The sequence below is a fragment of the Homo sapiens genome, chromosome 7 (assembly GCF_000001405.40).
Source record: "Homo sapiens chromosome 7, GRCh38.p14 Primary Assembly".
Taxonomy (NCBI): Eukaryota; Metazoa; Chordata; class Mammalia; order Primates; family Hominidae; genus Homo; species Homo sapiens.
The window spans coordinates 114677902-114698394 of record NC_000007.14 but is presented as its reverse complement, the minus strand read 5'-3'; the positions used below and the strand labels follow the sequence as shown (position 1 = coordinate 114698394).

Below are 20493 nucleotides of genomic sequence, written 5' to 3'. Positions count from 1 at the left end.
GGAAGTTTGGATAGCAGGCATTGTATCCAGAGATTACTGCTTGGACAATTATTCTTGTCATCTACCTCTCCATCCAGGCAGGATCTAAGAAACATGGTTAGATAAACACAGCCAGATTCCAACTGAGACCCTTCATTGAGGGAGGGTTTCAGGGGTTCTCATCCCAGGTCTCTTCATTTAGTACTAGAGAAGGGGAAACTGTTTGAACTGGAACTATTTACACTAAAGATTTTGAGAAAGACATAGCTTTCTCCCAAAGTTCACTTCTATATGGCAAACAGAGATTGCACACTGATCCAAAGGCTTGGCTAGAAATGAGAGAATAAGGAATTTGTCTTATAACCCAAAGAGGTCAGACTTCAGTCTTCCCTGAAAGAGCCTCCTGGATGCAACTTAGCAGGTGTCTCAGCTCCCTAAGAATGGAATAATTTTGGATAGTCCCTGAGTACCTATCAAGTGTAATAACATTTGGGTCTTTATGTGTAACAGAAATTCACCAAATGGAAAATTTCCACCAATTACACTTTCCACATACTTTTGTTTAGTGCCTAATATGCCAATCTGAAATTATTCCCAGCTCATAGACCCTATCCACTGATAACCCTCTATTCTCATTGCCTTCAAAAAAACAAAAATGAATTGGAAAATCAGTGGACCTCCTGTCTTACTCCCTTTCCTGTCCTTGTGGCAGAAGTCACGAGTAGATGATAGCACATTTTTCTTGTGTAGTGAAGGTATGGCCTCGGAACCCATCATCACGTATTTACTGAGCCTCTATTATGTGCCAGGCACCCCAGGCAGATGCTATGCATCCATGTTAGTGTTGGCAAATGACATGAAACCAGTTTCGCAGTTCAGATACAGAGCCTACATTCAATTTTACTTTTCTTAGACCTTGTGTGACTAACACAATCTAGCTTGTTAGTCCCCCGTCACCGCTCTCTTTCCATTGGGCTGGAACAGGAATCTCCTCACACAAAAAAGCGCTGTGTTATAGCTCAGTCATGAGTATATTGAATTATTCAATACTGTTAGCATCTTCCTAAAAGTCAAAAGGCAAGTGAGTGGATGTTTTTTTGTGACTCAGTGAGAATGCAAAACTTACTGATTTAATTACAGTGATCTCTAAACAAAAAGTTGCTACCTATTAACCTCCTAATGGGCTTAAATGTAATTGCTTCTGACACCTGAGATAGGAAAAATGAATTCTTCTGTTCAAGCCATAACTTTGGAGTTCTTTGGCACACAGCATGAAAACTTTTTCCCTCTGATTTTGATTAGATACTTTGGAAATAAGCCTTAATAAGTCACTTAAATTCTGCCAAAGTACTTGAAGCCTCTTTGAATGCCTGATCCCAAGGTGACTGTCTCTCAAATTTTATGTATCATATGTACTTTTCAAATGACCCAGTGATTTTTTTCTAAAAGCTAGAAATAACAATTTTAGTGTCAAAATGCCCCCCCTCTAAAATTTTAGGATACTAATGCTCAAGACTATTCTTTTAGCAAAATGACAACTATTGACATGCTCATTATCTAATAATAACAGTTTTAAATTTATGCAGAGGGCAGAATTAATGAGATATTTCCATTTTGTGGTGGAGACTATTTCTAAAATGATGGGATATGTATTGGTGAAATAAGTATTGTCAAATAACACAACTATCTGATTATGCATCACAATGAGTATTAAACAAACCCTCCACAGTGGTAAATAAGGAGAATATACTTGAGAACTAGGTGTCTCAGACTGGAGACAACCAAAAATGTTGGATTATTGTAGGTGGCTCACATACCATTTTGTGGTTATGGGGAAAACAGTGGCATCTGTAAAATGATTTTAAAATTCATCTTTTATTATTTGCAATCTTTTTTTAAAAATTAACTTTGAAATTAACTGATTTCTATTATCAGAGAGTTCAAAACTATAAACAAATGCATGGCATTGCTAGCAAGCATTTGATATTATTATAAGACTTTCAACATCTAGGTTTAATACTTGCCGATGAAACATTTCTATTGAACCTCAGCCCTATTGAGGCTGGGTTGATTTGGTTTCTTGTGGATTAACTGTATAGGAGCTCCTTTCTTTGGTGAAGGGCATTAAATAAAACATTTAAATACTGGTGCACAGTTCAACTCCAAGGACTCACTCGATGCTGGCCCAGATTTTCCTTAGCTTTTGTTCTCCGAGAAGCTTATTTTTTTGGCTTATGGAAGATGTGTGAATTTATGATCTTAATAACTTTATATTAGAAGTGTCTTTTTAAAATTTTATGACTTTTCCCTGAGACTTCTTGTGATATTTTTTCCCCCAGCACATTTGAGAAAAGAGGATTGGTAGTTTTAAAATGTTGCATTTTCTATAGCATCCTATCAGTACACTTAAAGGAAAGCAGGGAGGCCAGGTCAGGTGTTTTTCCTACATCATTTCCCATGACTCCAGGGCTGTCCGCTGCCTCCACAGGGAGGAAGAGAATGGTGGCTTAGGGGCTTTGCCTCACATCAGTATCCCTGGATGTTATCACAGGAACCTGCAAGCTGTTTTCCACAATTTCCACCAGGCAATAGCAAATTGCTATTGAACACGAGGATCTACGAGTGACTGAGAAGGGAATCACACAGCTAGTCCACTTTCAAATTGATGACCTCTTCAGTGCTATCATCATGACATGAAGAGTTGAAAAAATACATATCATGTCTAGTCATAACAGGAACATTTTCTTTAATAACTCTTTTCATTTTTTCTTTCTGTTCATCGTCACCTCTGGACATGAATATTCGCTGTCAAACCTTTGATCCCAACAATCCTCAAATATGAAAGGAGGGACAATTTTTATAATGTGGATGTTTTAATTTTCTGTAAGAGTGCTGGAAACTAAAAACCCATGAAGTTAAGGGATAAGATCAGCTTCAGCTTTAGAAAAGAGATTGACTGATATTTATTCAAAGAATTTTAAGTGAAACTTCACAACAGAGTGTGAAACCGATAGTGTGTATCTGGAGCTTAAGGTTCTGATTTTGTTTTCTTCCTGGAGCATGCGTGTGTGTGAGTGCCTATGTGTATATATTGGCTTAAGCAATATGGCCATCACCTGTAAGGTGCAAATTTCCCAGAAAATTATAAACTCTTTATTTGTTTTACTATGGCTGGTCTTTCCATTTATTCAGGTGTCACACAGTTTCATTTAGCCGGTGTTGGCGACTGAACATACGGAGGGTAAAGGGAACAGTACGTTAAATTGTGGGTAAAGCCACGTCTTATTTTCTCAAGTTACACATTCTCTTATAGTTACCTTGTGCCTTGGTGTTTACAGTTTTCCATGCAGTTTAAAAACAAACAAAAAAACGCGAAAAGATAGAGCTTATGATCTTTTCCTTCACCAGCATTTGAACATTAGGATTTGTCTTAATATCCTTTTGTAAAATATTTGAAACAGTAGGGAGTTGGATGCTTAGCTTTCATTACTCTTATTCAAGAAAGAAAATACTTAAAGTGTGACTTGCCATCTGTATTTCTTCTCTGCTTAGATTTTAAGTTGACATCTTTTTTGTGTTTTTATTTTAAAAATTCAGAAGTAATTTAGTGACCAACTTTTTACAAAGCACCTGAATCCTCCATTGATTCAACAGCACAAAATATCTGGGTAACAAGTGTTTTAAACTACAGGATCACAAGAGTTTGAATTTAGGTTTACGTACAAAACATCCGCCAAATCAGTTTTACTCATTTCTTGTTATTTCTCATCTCTAAATTGTTCTCCTTATATTAAAGTATAGAAAATGCTCAGACTGGATTCACATCTTGTTATGTAGCCTTTAGTAAGTTAACAAAATACGCTGGACAGGATACATTGGTAATCATTTACTTTGAACTAGTTGATAAAGAAAAAAACGTAATGTTCAAGGACATTAATCTCATGTCCATACTTCTTTTTAAAGCCATTTTTTAATCCTGTGGAAAGTCCTTTATTCAAGGTACCCTTTCACTAGGATGACAGAAAATATTAAGTTATGCATAAAATTAAAAAATTCTCAACAGATTCATTTTCCTTTTACTTTTGATTGTGAGGAGATTTGGAAGTTAGGTTAAAGTAGGAAGTGAAATTTTCTAATGCTGAGGCCCTATCTTGCCTGTTTTTTTCCACTAATATGGGTCTGGAACAGATCCCTAATATCCTAAAAAGCATTTTCTTGGAAGCTACTTACCTATCTCTGACACATTCCCCTAAACCATGGCTGGATGCTGTGGGTGTGACTGATATTCAGAGGCAAAACAAAAAAAGACAATAAAGCAAAAAAGTCATAAAGTTAAAAAGAGTAATCATGTTTTCCCCTGGCATTTTTTAATGTTCAGAATTTATAATGTCAAATTGTATCAGAATAAAAACACGAAAACATGAGATAAGTGTGTGGGGAAGCAATTTGGAACCTGAAGACAGTTTTTAATGGAATGCATTTGACAAGCAGCCTCCATCTTTACATTTGAGTATGGTCTGGTTTATGAATCCCAAATCCCTAAGAAAATAATTTTAAACAAATTGTGGGACATGTGTATACAAATTTATGACTTGGCTCTGGCATGGAAGAATGGTCTCTCCGAAAGAATAAAATCCTATTGGTTATAAATGGGTCAAAAAGAATTAGATTTTTTTATTTATACTTCAGAAATGTAATCAAGTGAATGAAATGGTTTCATATACATTTTTACATCCAACAGCAGTGACACACTGTTCATACATTAATTCTATAGTAAAATGTACATCCTTCTTTTTTGCTAAGTAAGATATGCCAAGTGTTCATGGACAAAAAAACCTTTCGTTGCAACCTGAACTAGTGAAATAACAAGGGTAAGCCATGTTCCTTTCAATAGCTTTATAGACTTAATAAAGCTATTGTCCAAATGTGTGTTAATACTGGCATGTGTAAGATGAAGTCTCAAAATTCTCAAAAATGTAAATGTCCAACTTGAAAACTTTACAAAATATCATATTGGATTTTGCGACTGAATCTGCCCAGGGACATTAAAGTCCAGGATGGTTTATGTAAGTGTACTTCTGTAGCTCTATTCCTAGCTGACTATTCTTCGATTCCCTAATCACAAAGAAATGCATTCTTATGAAGTTAAGCAGCTGTAGACACAGAATGCTGATGACATTTTCTCCATATCTGAGTTATCTAAAGAAAACCCAGTTAGTGGTAATTCTACCAAATACTTGTAACATTCACATAAAATTTTAATTGATTTTCAAATAGTACAACTGTGCCACGAATCCAACCACATAGAATATAAGCCTTAAGCCCACTAGGTTTAAGCAATTGTGTCTTTGTAGACTAAAACTATGTAAAATAAAATCTGATAACTCCCTGGTGTTAGAGGTAGACAGTTTTCTTTCAAATCCTAGGTTTGGTCCTTTATTTTATTCAGCAGTGAAAGCCATGAATACAGAACGAATAACAGCTGTTACAATTCTCAACCATGACTTCTAACGTCAGAGAATTCAAAGTATGAACATAGTACACAGTAATGAAAAGTATCAAAAATTAGTTTACCTCAAAAAAGATAAATAAAACAGGTATATTCCACCAATACATAAACAGATGTTTGTGCTACAGTTTAAAATTTGCTGTATACAAAAGATCATAGTCCCCATAATCAGCTTATGATAGAAGCAAGAATACATGAGCCATTTAAATTGTCAGACATTATGCTTTATAAGGTATGCACAGAAGTTCAAGCAATAAATACATACATTAGTTCAAAGCCTTACAATAGCTACGCAAAGCAGATGCAGAAAAGCAGATTTGCTATTACTAGCAAGCAATGATATAAGAGTAAAAATTCATGAAATGCATTAAAGCAACATTTTTCTTAGAAAAAGTCTGGTCATTTATGGGTCCACCAACATTTTTACATAATATGCACAATTATCAAAATACAGACCAAGCATTTCAGGAAACTCCAAAAAACCTAAAATCTATTTTCAAAGCAATTGCAGTTTTGGAGGTTTTTCTGGTATAATGTGCAAGCAGCTATTTTTTAAAATTGTATTCATATAAAACCCATGCAAAACTCTACAGGTATATGCATTCTGTGGCTGAGACTTCCTTTCAAAAGTTTTCTAACTGAGGTATGCATACTTTAGCATTGTAGTCTTAGGCCACCCTTCTGATGGTACAACTCTCGCAGTTACTTCCAGTCCCTCAAAGCCTTTTGAACATGCACCTGAAAGACCCATTTTTCCTTTCAGATAATCCTTACAGTAGGATCCTAGATGACTGAAAACCATCTTTCACCATACCCATCTTTCTTTTAATACCATATTGTAAACTTCCGGTTCGTTGATCATGACCCAAAGACAAACATAATGAAAAGTAGCAGTTACTGTGACGTTCTCACGTTTCATGCAATCTGCCATAATTGTTCTAATGTTTTTCTTTTTTTTTTTTTCTTTTTTTTTTTTTGCAGAGGTAGAAGCTTTCAGAAAGCCTTTTGGGTAAGTGGGAAAACCCTTTTGAAAGCCGTTATGTCCTTTTATTTGGTGTGATAGATGACTGGGTATCTCTCTAACTCTATTTGCTGACTTCAGCAAAGAATCAATGATGAGCTTAGTTTGCAAGAACCGGTTCCATCACATGGAACGGGAACGTATGTTAAGCTCTAGCAGCCACCTTCTGTCAAAACTGTTTGTAAAGCAATAACCATAATCAGGTTATGAGGTCCCTTGGTTGGGGGAAAAAGTATTATCAAGACTTGGCACAGCACATGAAAAGCAACATGTTAAGTTTCTAGGTTTTAAGCAAACATCTGACTATGCTATTTTCAACTACATCATAACTCATTATCATAGTTTTGGGGTTTGGAATTGTCAAGAAAACCAGCATTCCAACAATTTGGCCTGTGCAAGTCTTTGAAGGGAGTGTATTGTTAGTGTTAATATCCCGTATAAGCAGAGGCAGAATTATATGTAACTTTGGTTTGACTGAAAATAAATACCATGGACTACAATTGCTATAATCTTTGCTTTCAGTGTAAAAACTCAGCTAGATCACTTTAAAATCAATATGAAATTAATTTTTGGCTTTACTAGACCTTTTATGTTTGGTTCCTACTTTTTGTTTTTTCATTATAACTTAAGACTATAAAAAAATAGTACACAACAAAGATTAAGACCATACAAGACATCTTCTAACAACATGTATTCACCACTGAAAATAACTGACTGAATGAGGGAAAACAAAAACACAAAGTACTATATATATAACAATATGCAATCTGCATTTGCATCAAGTACATAATCGTTTTGGTCAGTGATCCACATTTGTTGCTTTCTAGCATATCATAACTTCCACTGCGGATTTTGTCCTCACCTCTGTCTTTAATGAAAGCAAATCTTCATTGCATTTAGATGGACTTTTGGCCTCAGAAGATTACTCTGTGACTGAATTAACATTTTTTAGTTGTGGTTTTTGTCATATTTGTTTCTTTGTTTAGGGCTAAATGAAAAGATCCCAGAGGTCATCAGAAAACAGCAGGTAGTTCATGGAAAAGGTTCCTTTGTACTAATTGAAGTTACAGAAGGCTGACCAAAGCATGTGGCTGCTTCTGTCCTTGAGCTCTTGGCCATGGTTAGAGTTGGCTTTGGTTTGCAGCTGTAGCCTTTGACTGTGTTTGCAGGTAGACAAAGCTTTATCACAAGGAGGTAAAGAGTACAGTTGTAAGATCTATGCAGATATGCAAATGTTTCTATGGTGCTTGCACAGATAATGTTAGCTTAGGATTGCACTTTACATCTTAACACTAACAGCACAGACTGGAAGCCTAAGGTTTTAGATGGTTGCAACAGTCTAATTACTGTGTTTTGTAATAACTAACTTATGTCATTTACAGTTGGTGGCACCAACATAAAAAACTAATGTTCTGTTGTTTAAAATTCAGCTAGATACAAGCAGTGACACTAATTTCTGATACTACTCCTGTGCAAATTAAAAACAATAGCAACAAGTTGAACTTGACCAGCAATTGTTTCTAACATTACAACTACTGAATGCTGGAAAATTCACATTAATGAAACTAACACTATTTTTGGCAGTATATGAGGCGCATTTGCTTTCTACAGGACATGTATCCTCATATTCAGTCATTTCATGAACCCTTAAGAGCCACATTTTTTAAATGGGCAAAGCCATTATAGAAAGAACAGTTCATTTTTTTTTTTCAAGAAAATCAGTTTTTGTCTTTTTTTCTAAAAAAAAAAAAAAAAAGAAGAAGAAGAAGAAGAAAACAAGCAATTTGCCTGTTGGTACTGAATCCCAAAGGGCTGGCTTAGTAAGTTCCTTTAGGGCTGTCTCCTTTATCCATGCTTAATAAATAGTCACAGTAAAAATTTGTCAAATATTCATGGTTGTGGAGTGGTTATGAAGGTCAGTGATATGTCCCTTCACGCTGAGGTTTCACAAGTCAGTTCTCATTCCAGATCTTCAGATAAAGGCTCTTCTTCAATCTCTCTGTCGTCTTCTAATTCTGGACTGTGATTAGCTGTTGTCACTAAGGACATTGGGCAGTCTTCATCCTCTGCAATCACTGGCTCTTCCTTGACGTGGATTGAATGTCTGAAAAACATGTAGATACACCAAAATTTTACTAAGTAAGCAACAAACAGAGTTTGGCCAACTTTGCAGTGAAGAGGTCAACTGAAAAAAGGCAAGAAGACACAACATTGTCTTTCTTAAAAGGGCATCTGATTGATTGCGTGAGCTGGTTAGAGACATGATACTTTACAGTAGAACTGTGGAGGCAGGGATTCAGAGTAATGTGAGCATGGACTCCCACATGCTGTGCTGTTTAGGTAAAACATCCGTTTCTCAGCATTCTTTCTGAATGAAATGTTTTGTTAGTATTTGTTATAACATGATAATCAAGGAGTGGTAGTAAAGGAATAGTAAACAAATAATTAATCAACAAATGAAAACACTTTTACCATTCAGTTTTTTGCTAGCAATTAAGATAACAACTGTTATTTCTAAATATTTCAGACTTGAGTTTAACAATTTTATTTCTATTTTTTTTTAAACTCTCCAGTATAAGCTAGATTGGGTGTTTGTTGAAACAAATACTAACAAATTTCAGAAAATAAACTGGGGCTAAAGCGTCTTCATTACCAGGATGCCAGTACTATTTTCAAGCACATATTTATATGTTTGTGTGTGTACATACATTATGTAATTAAAATTTTGTCATGAATACACCAGCCACAGCAATATAATTATAGAAACTTAAACAACGTATATGCTGAAGTTTATTATCCCTCCAACCCCAAAATATATTAGAAAGGTCACTGTGATCTGAGAAAAGCTATGAAGGTTCACAGATAGCACCTGGTGGAAAAATATTATATATAAATAATCAAATTTTTTCATCCTTTTTACCCCTGAAGCAAGAGAAGACCTGCTTTTTTATCTTGTTAATAGAAACCGCAATCTCTCATTAATATGCAGGGCTGGTGAGCTGCTTCTCAAGAGGAAAACCTGCAGCAAGGCTTTGCCATTAATCAACTTCAGCCCAGCAGTTCAGTGAGACATGATGATACATGTTTTTAACTCTAAATTAATGAATATCTTTACCAACTGTCAATAAATGAAGAAAAACACTGGTGAGGAACACAAGTTGAGGTGGGAAATTTCCAAACACAACAGAGTGATGGGGAAGTGGGCAACTAACAAGAATAATAATGCTGTCACACACAAACAAGGCTTAACATGATCCAGGCCCTACTCAAGGAAAGGGTTGTGCTGCAATGATAAATCTGCCAAAACCTAATTATTTTTGACACATTAGATGCATCAGGGAATCGCTGTGAAAAAGATTCCTTATCAAGTAGTTTTTGCATTAGAAAGTGACTGAACCTGCCAGCCATCTCTTGGGCTACATTCTTCAATGAAAGAAGTAACTTTGAATTTTAAAAGGTACAGATTGCTTTAATATTCATTGCAAAATAACTTATTATTCAAACCTTATTGGGAAACTCTAGGTTTTGTTTTGCTTTAGCCTTTGTTTTTGTTGTTTGGTGTTAGTAAATTATACGTTTTTTAGCTAGTTTGAACCAGGCATGTTGAAATGCAAAACTAGGCCAAAAAAAAAAAAAGATGTGTGTGTGTGTGTGTGTGTGTGTGTGTGTGTGTGTGTATGCATGTATGCATGTGTTTGTGTGTGTTTGTAGGAGAGAAGAATAAAAGGAAAAATTAAAAGAAAGGAAAAGGACAAGCACATTAAAAAAAAAAAAACCCTGAAGTTTATGAAAAAGTTTTATCTCATTTTTTACTTCACAAATGGCTTTTGCAGTTTCATCCATACTAACGAACTACTTGTAGCCATCTCTATTGGTCTATGTATATGTATGTATATATGTGTGTGTGTCTTCTTAGTTTTAAAACGTGACAAATATTTGATATAAGAGGCTAGAAAATTCTTGAGAATTCTCTTCATGAGTTACTTCTTAATGTAAGATTCACAGAAAAATTTAAAATTTAATTAGAACTCATTACATAGTAAATAAAATATCCTTAAATAACTAATTCAATGTGAATGATTACCTAGGGATGTAAATTTATTTTGGTTGGAGAGGGTCCCTTGAGCTTTATGACAAAGAAAGGCTTCTAAAAGTACTGTCACATATATTTATCATATGGTAACAAACAATCCTAGAGATATGTACTTAAAAATATTAAAGAGAGACAAATGAGTCTAGACTACACAAGGTCGCTGCAGTCATAAAACATAGCAAAGCCTTCTCCTAATGTGAAAAACATAGCTTACAGCTTTAATTTGCATTAATTATAAATCAGTAACATGCTTGTGTGGTTTGAAAAAGCGAGAAAAATTATTAGTTCTCTCAGTCACTTTACGCTATATTAAGATGTCTGGATGAGTCATTTAGTATTTAATGAGTAGCAAGCATTATGAAGTCAGAAATAAATGTGTACTATGTATCTTTGAATTCATTGCTGCAATTGGAATGAGACACTTGCATATTATGACAGGATTATTACCAGCAATCATGCACAGATATGCTGGGGATGCAAATAACGTCATTAGCAGGGTATTGTAATGAAATAAGGTGTATTGTCATTCTTTATGGTGACACAAACCATATTAGCTATGCTCCAACTGGATTTGTAGAACATAGGGAAGTTGCTTTGCTTGGGTGTTCATCAAAACTCTCCCGTAAACTAAATGGAAATAACGCTTAATCAATATAAAAATCTATATGCCGTAGAATCAAATAATATTTAGGAAACTCTTATCACATGATAATTCAAAGCTCAGAAACAGACATTTCACGTTATTCAGCAACAAGTATACAACATTTATAAAAGTTCCTAAATAACAAAGCACTTAGGGCACTTTAAAACTCATTCAATATATTACTATAGTGCATGCAAATTCAAAAAACATTTGGATCCTAGAAAGTTCAACTGCAATGGAATCCTAATGTCCCTTTGAACGTGCTCATTGACATTATTCCAGAAGTGTTCGGCTCATTAAAAGAAAATGTCTTAAAAATTTTATAATAATCATAATTTAAAAATAATTATATTAAAAAGTATACGTGCTCAGAATATTTTAATAACTTTGATACACACAAAATTTTTAGATTTTATTTTCATAGCTATTTCCAGATGTCCTTATAGAGACATATTCTTTTAAGCAAAAGCAAACAAAGAAAAACAAACAAAATGTTTACCAATCTTGAGAAAATGAAGATATATACATTATTTTGCCAGCAATGAGACAAGACAAAATTTGAAACTGAAGTTAAAATTTGAACTGGATATTAGAATGTGCTACAAGAACATTTACTTTGATATTTCCGTAGTGGCCTCTAAAAAGCCGAACATTAAAAGCATAAAGACTTAAGTATTGGCCAGGCGCTGTGGCTCACTCCTGTTATCCCAGCACTTTGGGAGGCCAAGGTGGGTGGATCACTTGAGGTCAGGGGTTCAAGACCAGTCTGGCCAACATGGTGAAACTCTGTTTCTAATAAAAATACAAAAATTAGCTGGGCATGGTGGCATGCACCTGTAATCCCAGTTACTCGGGAGGCCGAGGTGGGAAAATCACCTGAACCTGGGAGCAGGAAGTTGCAGTAAGGCGAAACAGTGCCACTGGACTCCAGCCTGGGTGACAGAGTGAGACTCCATCTCAAAAAAAAAAAAAGAAGTATTATAATTTCAGGTATTGCATAGACTATAGTATAAAAAAAACTTATTATTTGTAAACTATTTGATTAGAAATGGCACTACATATATGAAAGTATATTTAGATGGGGCAAAAAGTTTAATACAATTCTAATTAGTTTATTTTGTCACTAGTGTTATATGGTGAAGACGGTTCACATTTTGGCTTTTTTTTTAAAAAAAAAAACACCGGTTTTCCTCTTGATATTCCTGGATCATCCTTATTAAGTTCATAGTTCATCTTATGACAACTTTTTTTGAAGGGTGGAGTTGCTTTAGCAGCTCATCTTTTCCCTAGACACTGTATTATTTCCTTTAAAAGTGAATAGTTGTAAATGAGATTCCAGAACATTGTAACTGTTATTAGAGGAGTATCACAGATATAAGAAAAGTACTTTAAAGCCCATCAGAAAAGCCAATTCTGGGGTGACAATTTCTGGAACTGTTCTAACATTTTGCATGCATGGGCAAAGAACACTGGAATTTCCCAAATGTTGCTACTGTATCAAGCTACTATCAGCTTTAATCTCTCAATTCTCAGTATAGATTACTCCCTAGGGATAGGTTAGAGACTACTCGAAGTGGCCATTATAACGCCATTATTGCACACTGTGGGGTAAATCATGAAATTATATTTTAGCCAATACAAATAAAAAGCCAAGAAGAGTTTGTCATTGATAGTTAACGAAACTGAAGTTATTATGCTTATGTTTCATGCTAAATCCAAAGCACTATATTATTTATATAAGGAAAACTATCATAGTTTTAAGTCTCCAAGGTACTATTTGTTATCCTGCATGACAAATTATAAAATAAAACCATAGGCCCCCAAATAACTAATACTATGTATTAAAGAATTACTTATAAATAAAAAAATAGGACTCTACTGTATGCATATGACTAGTTTGTAGGTACTATTTAACGTGATAAATAAACTATTTGGTCCTAATGAAATGTTCCATAGCCAATTTGCAAGTTAGAAATGTGCTATCAGGAAAACATGCACCACTGGGAGAGGGGGAAAGATCTGCACATAAGCATGTGTGCTTGTGTATGAGTGTATACCCATAGGTGATTTCAGAATAGTAAAAGCCTAAATCCATAAGAGATGTTTATCAGTGTTATTTTAAAGACTAACCCAACTATTCTGACTAAAAAAAAAAAAATCAACCAACTGAACTCAACAACTACTTTGAATAAATGGTTCATTGAACTAGCCAATAGTTTGAGTAAAATAATAGATGAACCAACTAGTATATTACAGTTTCATGTAGACATGTACAGAATTTTAAACATTTATTAAATCTAATGTTAATATTCCCAAAGTACCCTCTAAAATATACAAATGAAATCTTCTAATGAGATTACTTGTGAAAGTTCATATTCATTTAATGACTTTTATAAAAAATGACATTTTGATTTAATAATAGTTATAAGTTGAATTTATAATTTTAGATTTTCCTGGTTTAATCTGGGATTCAGAACATTTTAGAGAATGCTAAACTCTTAAGTGCTGGAAATAATTAGAATAAACTCCTAAGGTTAATATAATAGCACCTTTTTCTAATTAGGTCTCACAAATGACCTGCGAATATTCAAAACTTTCAGGCTTTAATAGCTGAGTATTTCTAAATAGATATTGAGTTACTGTCAAGCCACATACATAGATATCTAGCAGTGGTCTAGGCGACTGCCTTCAAGTCAATAAGCATTATTTTGGGCATCCCATAGTTTTAGATACAGATGTGAGCTCTTGTGCAGGAGTGTGTTTTAATATACTCAGGACACTTGAGAAGACCTCGGAGGTCCCCCTCCTCTGACAGTTTCTGAATTCCCTGCTGCATTTCAACTGTTTCCTCAGCAAAACCACTGCAATATCATATGCATCTGGTTCATTTGGGTTAACCTTTCTGGGTTGGGTTTTATTTGAATAAAGAACCTCGTGGAAAAATCTCAAGTTCTTGATAAAGAGGAATAACAAATAGGATGTATTATTTAGAAACAAGCACATAGAAGCCATGTTTGTAGTTCCAGCTACTTGGGAGGCTGAGGTGGGAGGAATGCCAGCCTGGGCAACAAAGCAAGACCCTGTCTCTAAAAAAAGCACATAAAGAAAAATTTTTTAAAAGAATGACTAAAGAGGTATGTTCTATTGTAGTCTCAGAAAATTTTAATATGCAAGAACTTTATTTATTTCATTATGCCACTGCCCTGTATAAAAATATGTCTGAACTGAGACACGGGGTTGAAAGAGGATTAAGCCAAAACCCTTCAGCCATTCTCAATAAACTATGATCTGATCTCCACCTATCTATGTACAACAATATTTCTGAATAATAACTTCCATTTCAGACTCAAAACATCATCCCAGAAACATTGTTTTCAGTTCCTACTCCAAGACATTTTTCATGGAGACTCAGGCTGTGTTTCCCCTTTCAACTCTCCGTGTATACATGGAACATCCTTCTACCCTGTTCTGCCTATTCACACACATCCTGTCTACCACTTAAGGATCAACTCACACTGTGTCTACTTCCTAAAGACTTCGACCTGTCCACATTTCATTGATCTACTCTGAACCTTCAAAGCATTTTTTGGTCATTCTGATGCTCAAAACTACAGAATCTTTGAATCCTAAAACTGGGTCTAATGTAACGTTATTGTTATTTGACTTCCCATTTTACAGATGAGTAAAGGAGTGACTGTCCAAGTGTCTGCATACAGGCACAGCAAAGACAAACACACACACTGGCCTCTAGAAAGTTTCTTGGAACCTTGTTATTTCTGCTACCCCATATTGCCTTAATCACATGCACTGTCACTTAACTCTTTCTACTGGTAGCTATACTTTATCTTGCCAAGTAGACTGTGAACTTCACAGATTAGGAGACATTACACATAGCACACTGTAAATACATGTTGAGTGAATAAATTACGTGCCATGAAAGCATTAAGAGTTTCATTGTACTAATTCTAATAGAGAAGATACCTCTCTGAAATTAAGTATGCTTGGAATATTTTCCATTCAGAACTAGTGAAAAAGATATCAGAGCTGGAAAAGCTGTACATAAAATTTTCCCCAATGGCTACAATGTTAGGCTGCTAATTTCCTAAAATAAAGCAAACTAAAGTCAATAATTATTAATGCTCAATTTTTAAAAGATCTATTTGCCATCAATATAATATCAGAGGAAGAAATAAAAAGTAGCAAGAGAAGTTTCAACATTCCAGAAAATAAAATTGCTTGAAAGTTACAGTACCTATGCCTATAAATTGGTGGAATACTTTTCAATAAAAATAAAATTTCTATTATAATTATCTCTATTTATATTAGGTTTCTCATTTTTGGATCTCAAAGTGCTCCATGTTTTCACTTGTCAAGTTATATGCCAACTCAAAAGAAATGGAACACAATGAAGTCACATGCCTTTTGTGGGTTGCAGGATGAATAGAGAATTAGTCTCTTCTTGTGACCATTGGCAATTTCTTTCTCTTTTTGCCCCATTATAGGATATGAGAGCCATTAAATTTATTTCCAAAAGAAAAAGTGGATATTTCTGTGGTGTTCATTTCTGCAAATTCCTCAAGGTGCCATGTGTTACACTACCATAGGATAATTAGGTTTTCTTCTACAAAAATGCTTCTTTCCAACATAGAAACATCCCTGACAATTCAAATAAAATAAAAGAATCCCTTTAAAGAAACTCTCTTCTGTGCTCACCAATTCTTCATTATGAATCCTCTTCCCATGTAGAATTATCTACAGGTTTTTAATTATAAGAATATAATTTACCGTGATGCATTTTATGTATTTAGTATTTTGATTAACTTCTAAGTGTGGTATAAAGTAATACTGAATAGTTTAGGCACCTCATTTATAATATTTAGTCACGCAGCAGTGATTAAGTGGTTAAGAATATAGTGGGCTTTGAGGATAAAATACTTGGGTTTGAAGCCTGGCTCCTTTACTTCCTAGCTATGCAACCTTGGAAAAGCTACTTAACCTCTCTGTATCTCCATTTCTTTACCCATAAAGCAAGGAAAACAGTGACTACCTTATACACTCGTTATAAGGGTTAAATTATTTTGCATATATGTAAAACACTTGAAATAGTGCCTGGATCATAAGTGATCAATAAACACTGAACACAGTCATAATATATAATAACCTTATAACCTTTTTTGGAAGAAAGTATGGTATAAATACAGAAATTAATTTTTTAACATTGTATGAGTTTCGTTAGCTCTAAAAGTATTTCAGTACCTCTTTCTAAAGTGAGATTTTTATTACTGTATCAAAAAAGTCATGAAACAAAGATATATGTGCCTCACATATCAGATGCCTGGCATTAGAGTTATTAATGACTAGTCACATTTCCTTAAAAGTATATTTAAGGTAATAAAAGGAAATAAAACAACACAACATATTGCTATAGTTATTTCAAAAAATTATTTACCAACAAATTCTGGGTCACTAAAATACTAAGCTAAATGGCCAGGTTATGTCTCAGATCACTTTCAGATCAATAGAAGAAAGTAAATTTCAAAGTAGAGGAGCCATCATTGAAATGCTCTGTACATAGTGCTCCTACATTTATTCTCCTCAGTCATCCATCACAGGCCTCATCATTAGCTTGTCATTAAAATCATTAACACACATGCATTGATCCAGGCCTGCATCACATTTGCTATGCACGTTGGGGCTTATGAAGTTCTGATAATATACATATAGCTAGAAAAATCTTAAATAGATTAACTTAATATGACTAAATAATGAAAATGTTAAGAGATGTAGCAATATATATAAGCCTGTTAGAAAGTAAAATTTTCCTCCAGGAATTCCTTTATGCTGTGGATTGAGTCAAGTCCCCTGTATCTATAATGATGTAAAGAGCATCTATCTCACTTTGACAGGAAAAGCCAATAACATATTAACATTATCTCCTATTGCCAATCTCTAATTTAACAAAAATTTATTGAGTATCTTCTATATATAAGGCACAGTGAGGCTTTTAATATCTATCAAAGAACTTGTAGTCTAGTATAAGAAGAATAAATGTACAAGATTGCCAGCCCTAAGTGTCCTAAGAAAAGCAGCAATTAAGTGATATAGGAGTTAACAATTGGAAAACTTACCTGCCTCTAAGAAGAATGCCAATGTTCTAACAGTATTAAAACACATGTATTCTTAATATAATTCATTAAAGACAGTAAAGTAAGAGCAAGTTCAGATGGAAATAAGAAAGAAATTCTTGACTATCCTAGTGATAAAATCCCCTTTCTGGATCTGAAGATCTCCTCTAGATGGTTCAGACATTCATTATGCCATTTTTCCCCAACTGTTTTGAAATTTATGCACTACTTTCTTTTGAAATTTATGCACTACTTTCTTCAACTTTTTTTTTTTTTTTTTAGATGGAGTCTCACTCTTGTTGCCCAGGCTGGAGTGCAGTGGCACGATCTCGGCTCACTGCAACCTCCGCCTTCCCGGGTTCAAGTGATTCTCCTGCCTCAGCCTCCCAGTAAATTTTTAACATAGCTTAAGGCAGGAGTGTAAGGGGTATAGTCTTTCCAGTGATTCATTTATTTACTGGGCACCTAAAATATGCCAAGTACTTGTATTATTACAGATTAAAGAGTACAAACCTTTGCCATAGAAGGTCACAGATAGAAGGGATTTATGTCTATTTCGGTAGCAGTTTTTCTAAGCCTGATAAAACATCACATTCCTTTAAGGGGGCACTGAAGTAACATCAACTTTGGTTTTAGTGCAAATTACCCATTTGGCAAATAATGAATATTTCTGCAAACCAGAATCCAGGAATTCATTGCAAATGCTTTAAAAATTGTTCTATCCATGAAATAGAAGACTTCAAATTTAATCGATCCTTTCAGTACACAACATTTTCCTTACTACAAAAAAACACCAATTTATGTTTCTTGCTTTAAAAAGGCATAGCCAGCTCCTAATTTAATTTAATTTACATTTGTGAGATTTAGAAACATATTTGGAACTTCTTTAGACAACTGGAGGAAAAGAAGTATTGAGTAATGGAGAGATATAAAGTTTGTTATTATTCCCTGACAGAGGTACAAAGTCAGTAACTGAAATTGAAGTACCTCTAGGAGGATAAAAGTTACTTCTTGTTAGAAGTGGAAAAAAAAATCCAGTCAATAGACATTGTGTGTAAACTTCTGGGATAGGGGCTGCATGGACAATGGTTCCTGTTATCATCAAGTTTTCAGTCTAATAGAGGAGGTAAGACATATATACAAGTAACTTTAACACAAGGCAGAATGTGATCGATGCCACAGTAGGTAAAGTATTATAAAAGGGGAGATAAATTCTGACAATTCAATCAGTGAATGCTCTATGAAGGAGAGTGGTGTAGCTTCACGTAGGCTTTGTAATAGGTGAAAATTTTTATTATGCAGAGATGAGAGAGAGGACATTCCAAGTAGAAATAGGGAAAATGGAGAATCGTAGACATGTTATGGGAACCCTGAGAGTGCATGGGGGAAGGAGGGCTGGTGATAATGTGTGTGTTTGTGTGTGTGTGTTAGAATAGCAGAATGAGGTCAGATGACGAGAAGGCCTTTGAGTTGCATTTCATGATGTTTAAATTTAATCTCTGCTCAAAGGCTATTGATGGTTTTTGAGCAGGATAATGAAAAGGTAGAAGAGTTTTATGAAGATGAATTTGCAAAATATAGGCTTAGTGTAGGACACTGCAGGTAGAGTTGCCAAATGGGAACTTACTAAAACAATGTAATAAGTTAATGATGGTCAGACCACTAAGGTGGTAGGATTAGAAATGATGGAAAGAAGTGAAGAATTTATAGATTGTGGAGTAAAAAGGTTTTGCATTTACTACTTTTAAATTTACAATGTAGGCCGGGCATGGTGGTTCACGCCTGTAATCCCAGCACTTTGGGATGCTGTGGTGGGCAGATCACATGAGGTCAGGAATTCGAGACCAGCCTGGCTAACATGGTGAAACCCCATCTCTGCTAAAAATATAAAAATTAGCCGGGCATGGTGGCGGGTGCCTATGATCCCAACTATGTGGGAGGTTGAGGCAGGCAGATTGCTTGAGCCTGGGAGGTGGAGGTTGCAGTGAGCTGAGATCGCATCACTGAACTCTATAAATTTACAATGTACATGAAATATTTATTTTTATGCTCTACCAAGGAGATAGAAGAGCCTAAATCTGTCAAAAATACTGAAAGTTAAAAATCAATAAAATAGTTAAAATACATCTTAACTTTTCATGACTCTCAAGCAACCTCTATGAATCTTTGTATTTGTTATTTTAATTGCTCAAGAACAATGAAAGCAAATCTCAGAAAGTTTGGATATTAGAAAGTGAAGATGAAAAGATTCTGAAAACAAATTCCCCCACAGTCTTCTCTGTGATTAAGGTGCTAGTAACAGCAATGGCCACAATAACATTGATGTGTGGTCTCCGGACATTTTATTTATTTTTAATTTTTCATCTGTGTTCTTATAGCATTTTAAGGAAAAATGTATTTTAAAACTGAATATTGAAGGAAGGGGCATAAAGTGTTGCTAGTTTCTCAAGCAAAAAAAAAAAAAAAAAAAAAAAAAAGAGTCACTTATTTCCGGAGAGAAGTACCAAAAAGAAAGCATGTAGGGCTTTTTAAAAGTAGGTAACATATACCCTTGAGGGTCTTGCTAAGCATCTCCAAATAATTGGTAAACTTTAAGACATGTCCCTACATATCAGCAGCTTGGAAATTAATGAGCTATAAGACACGGCTCTCAAACTCCTGGGCAATCTCATTTTACAGGTATCCCCATCCAGGCAGGCTGCCTGTCCTGAGGCAAAGGAGTCATTGTTCTCTGAATGAAACCCATGTTTTAGTCATCTTTGCTCATCTCCTCATGTCCTTTACATCTATCCTGCCTTTCCTCATCTCTGCTCAATACTAGGTTGAAATATTTAAGATGGCTATTTTTTAGGAAAAAAAAGTCAAATATGAATAATTTCATAAAGTTCAACCTAAAAATTGACTTCACGTTAAGCCTAACTCAAAATTACATCCTTCATGAAGTCTTTTCCGATTCCCCACGTGCATGTGCATGCTTCAGTCGTTAACTTCACAATTTGTTTGCAACTCTCTTCATTCCTTCACTTGGTCTCTGATACTACCTATGTACTTATCCCTCTATTAGAGTTTTACCTCTGTAGACACTGATCATCTGCCACAGTTTCTAGCAGAGTATGATGCACA

At 34.7% G+C, this 20493-nt stretch overlaps 1 protein-coding gene across 6 annotated transcripts in view, besides 1 other annotated feature; it reads right to left on the bottom strand.

Moving 5' to 3' along the window:
- Positions 4630-20493, bottom strand: part of FOXP2 (forkhead box P2) — a 607439-nt gene continuing 591575 nt past the window's right edge. For all 6 annotated transcript variants that reach the window (NR_033766.2, NR_033767.2, NM_148898.4 and 3 more), the window contains one exon: positions 4630-8613. Coding sequence is in view for 4 of the 6 variants with exons in the window: in NM_148898.4 (NP_683696.2) it covers positions 8469-8613 (145 nt within the window). In the remaining 2 variants the exon portion in view is untranslated. The remainder of the gene's footprint in view (positions 8614-20493) is intronic.
- Positions 8678-11538: an enhancer, noted in NCBI's record as "VISTA enhancer hs966". NCBI's record gives its function as "enhancer in: hindbrain (rhombencephalon)[6/11]" and the evidence as "EXISTENCE:transgenic organism evidence [ECO:0001131][PMID:17130149]".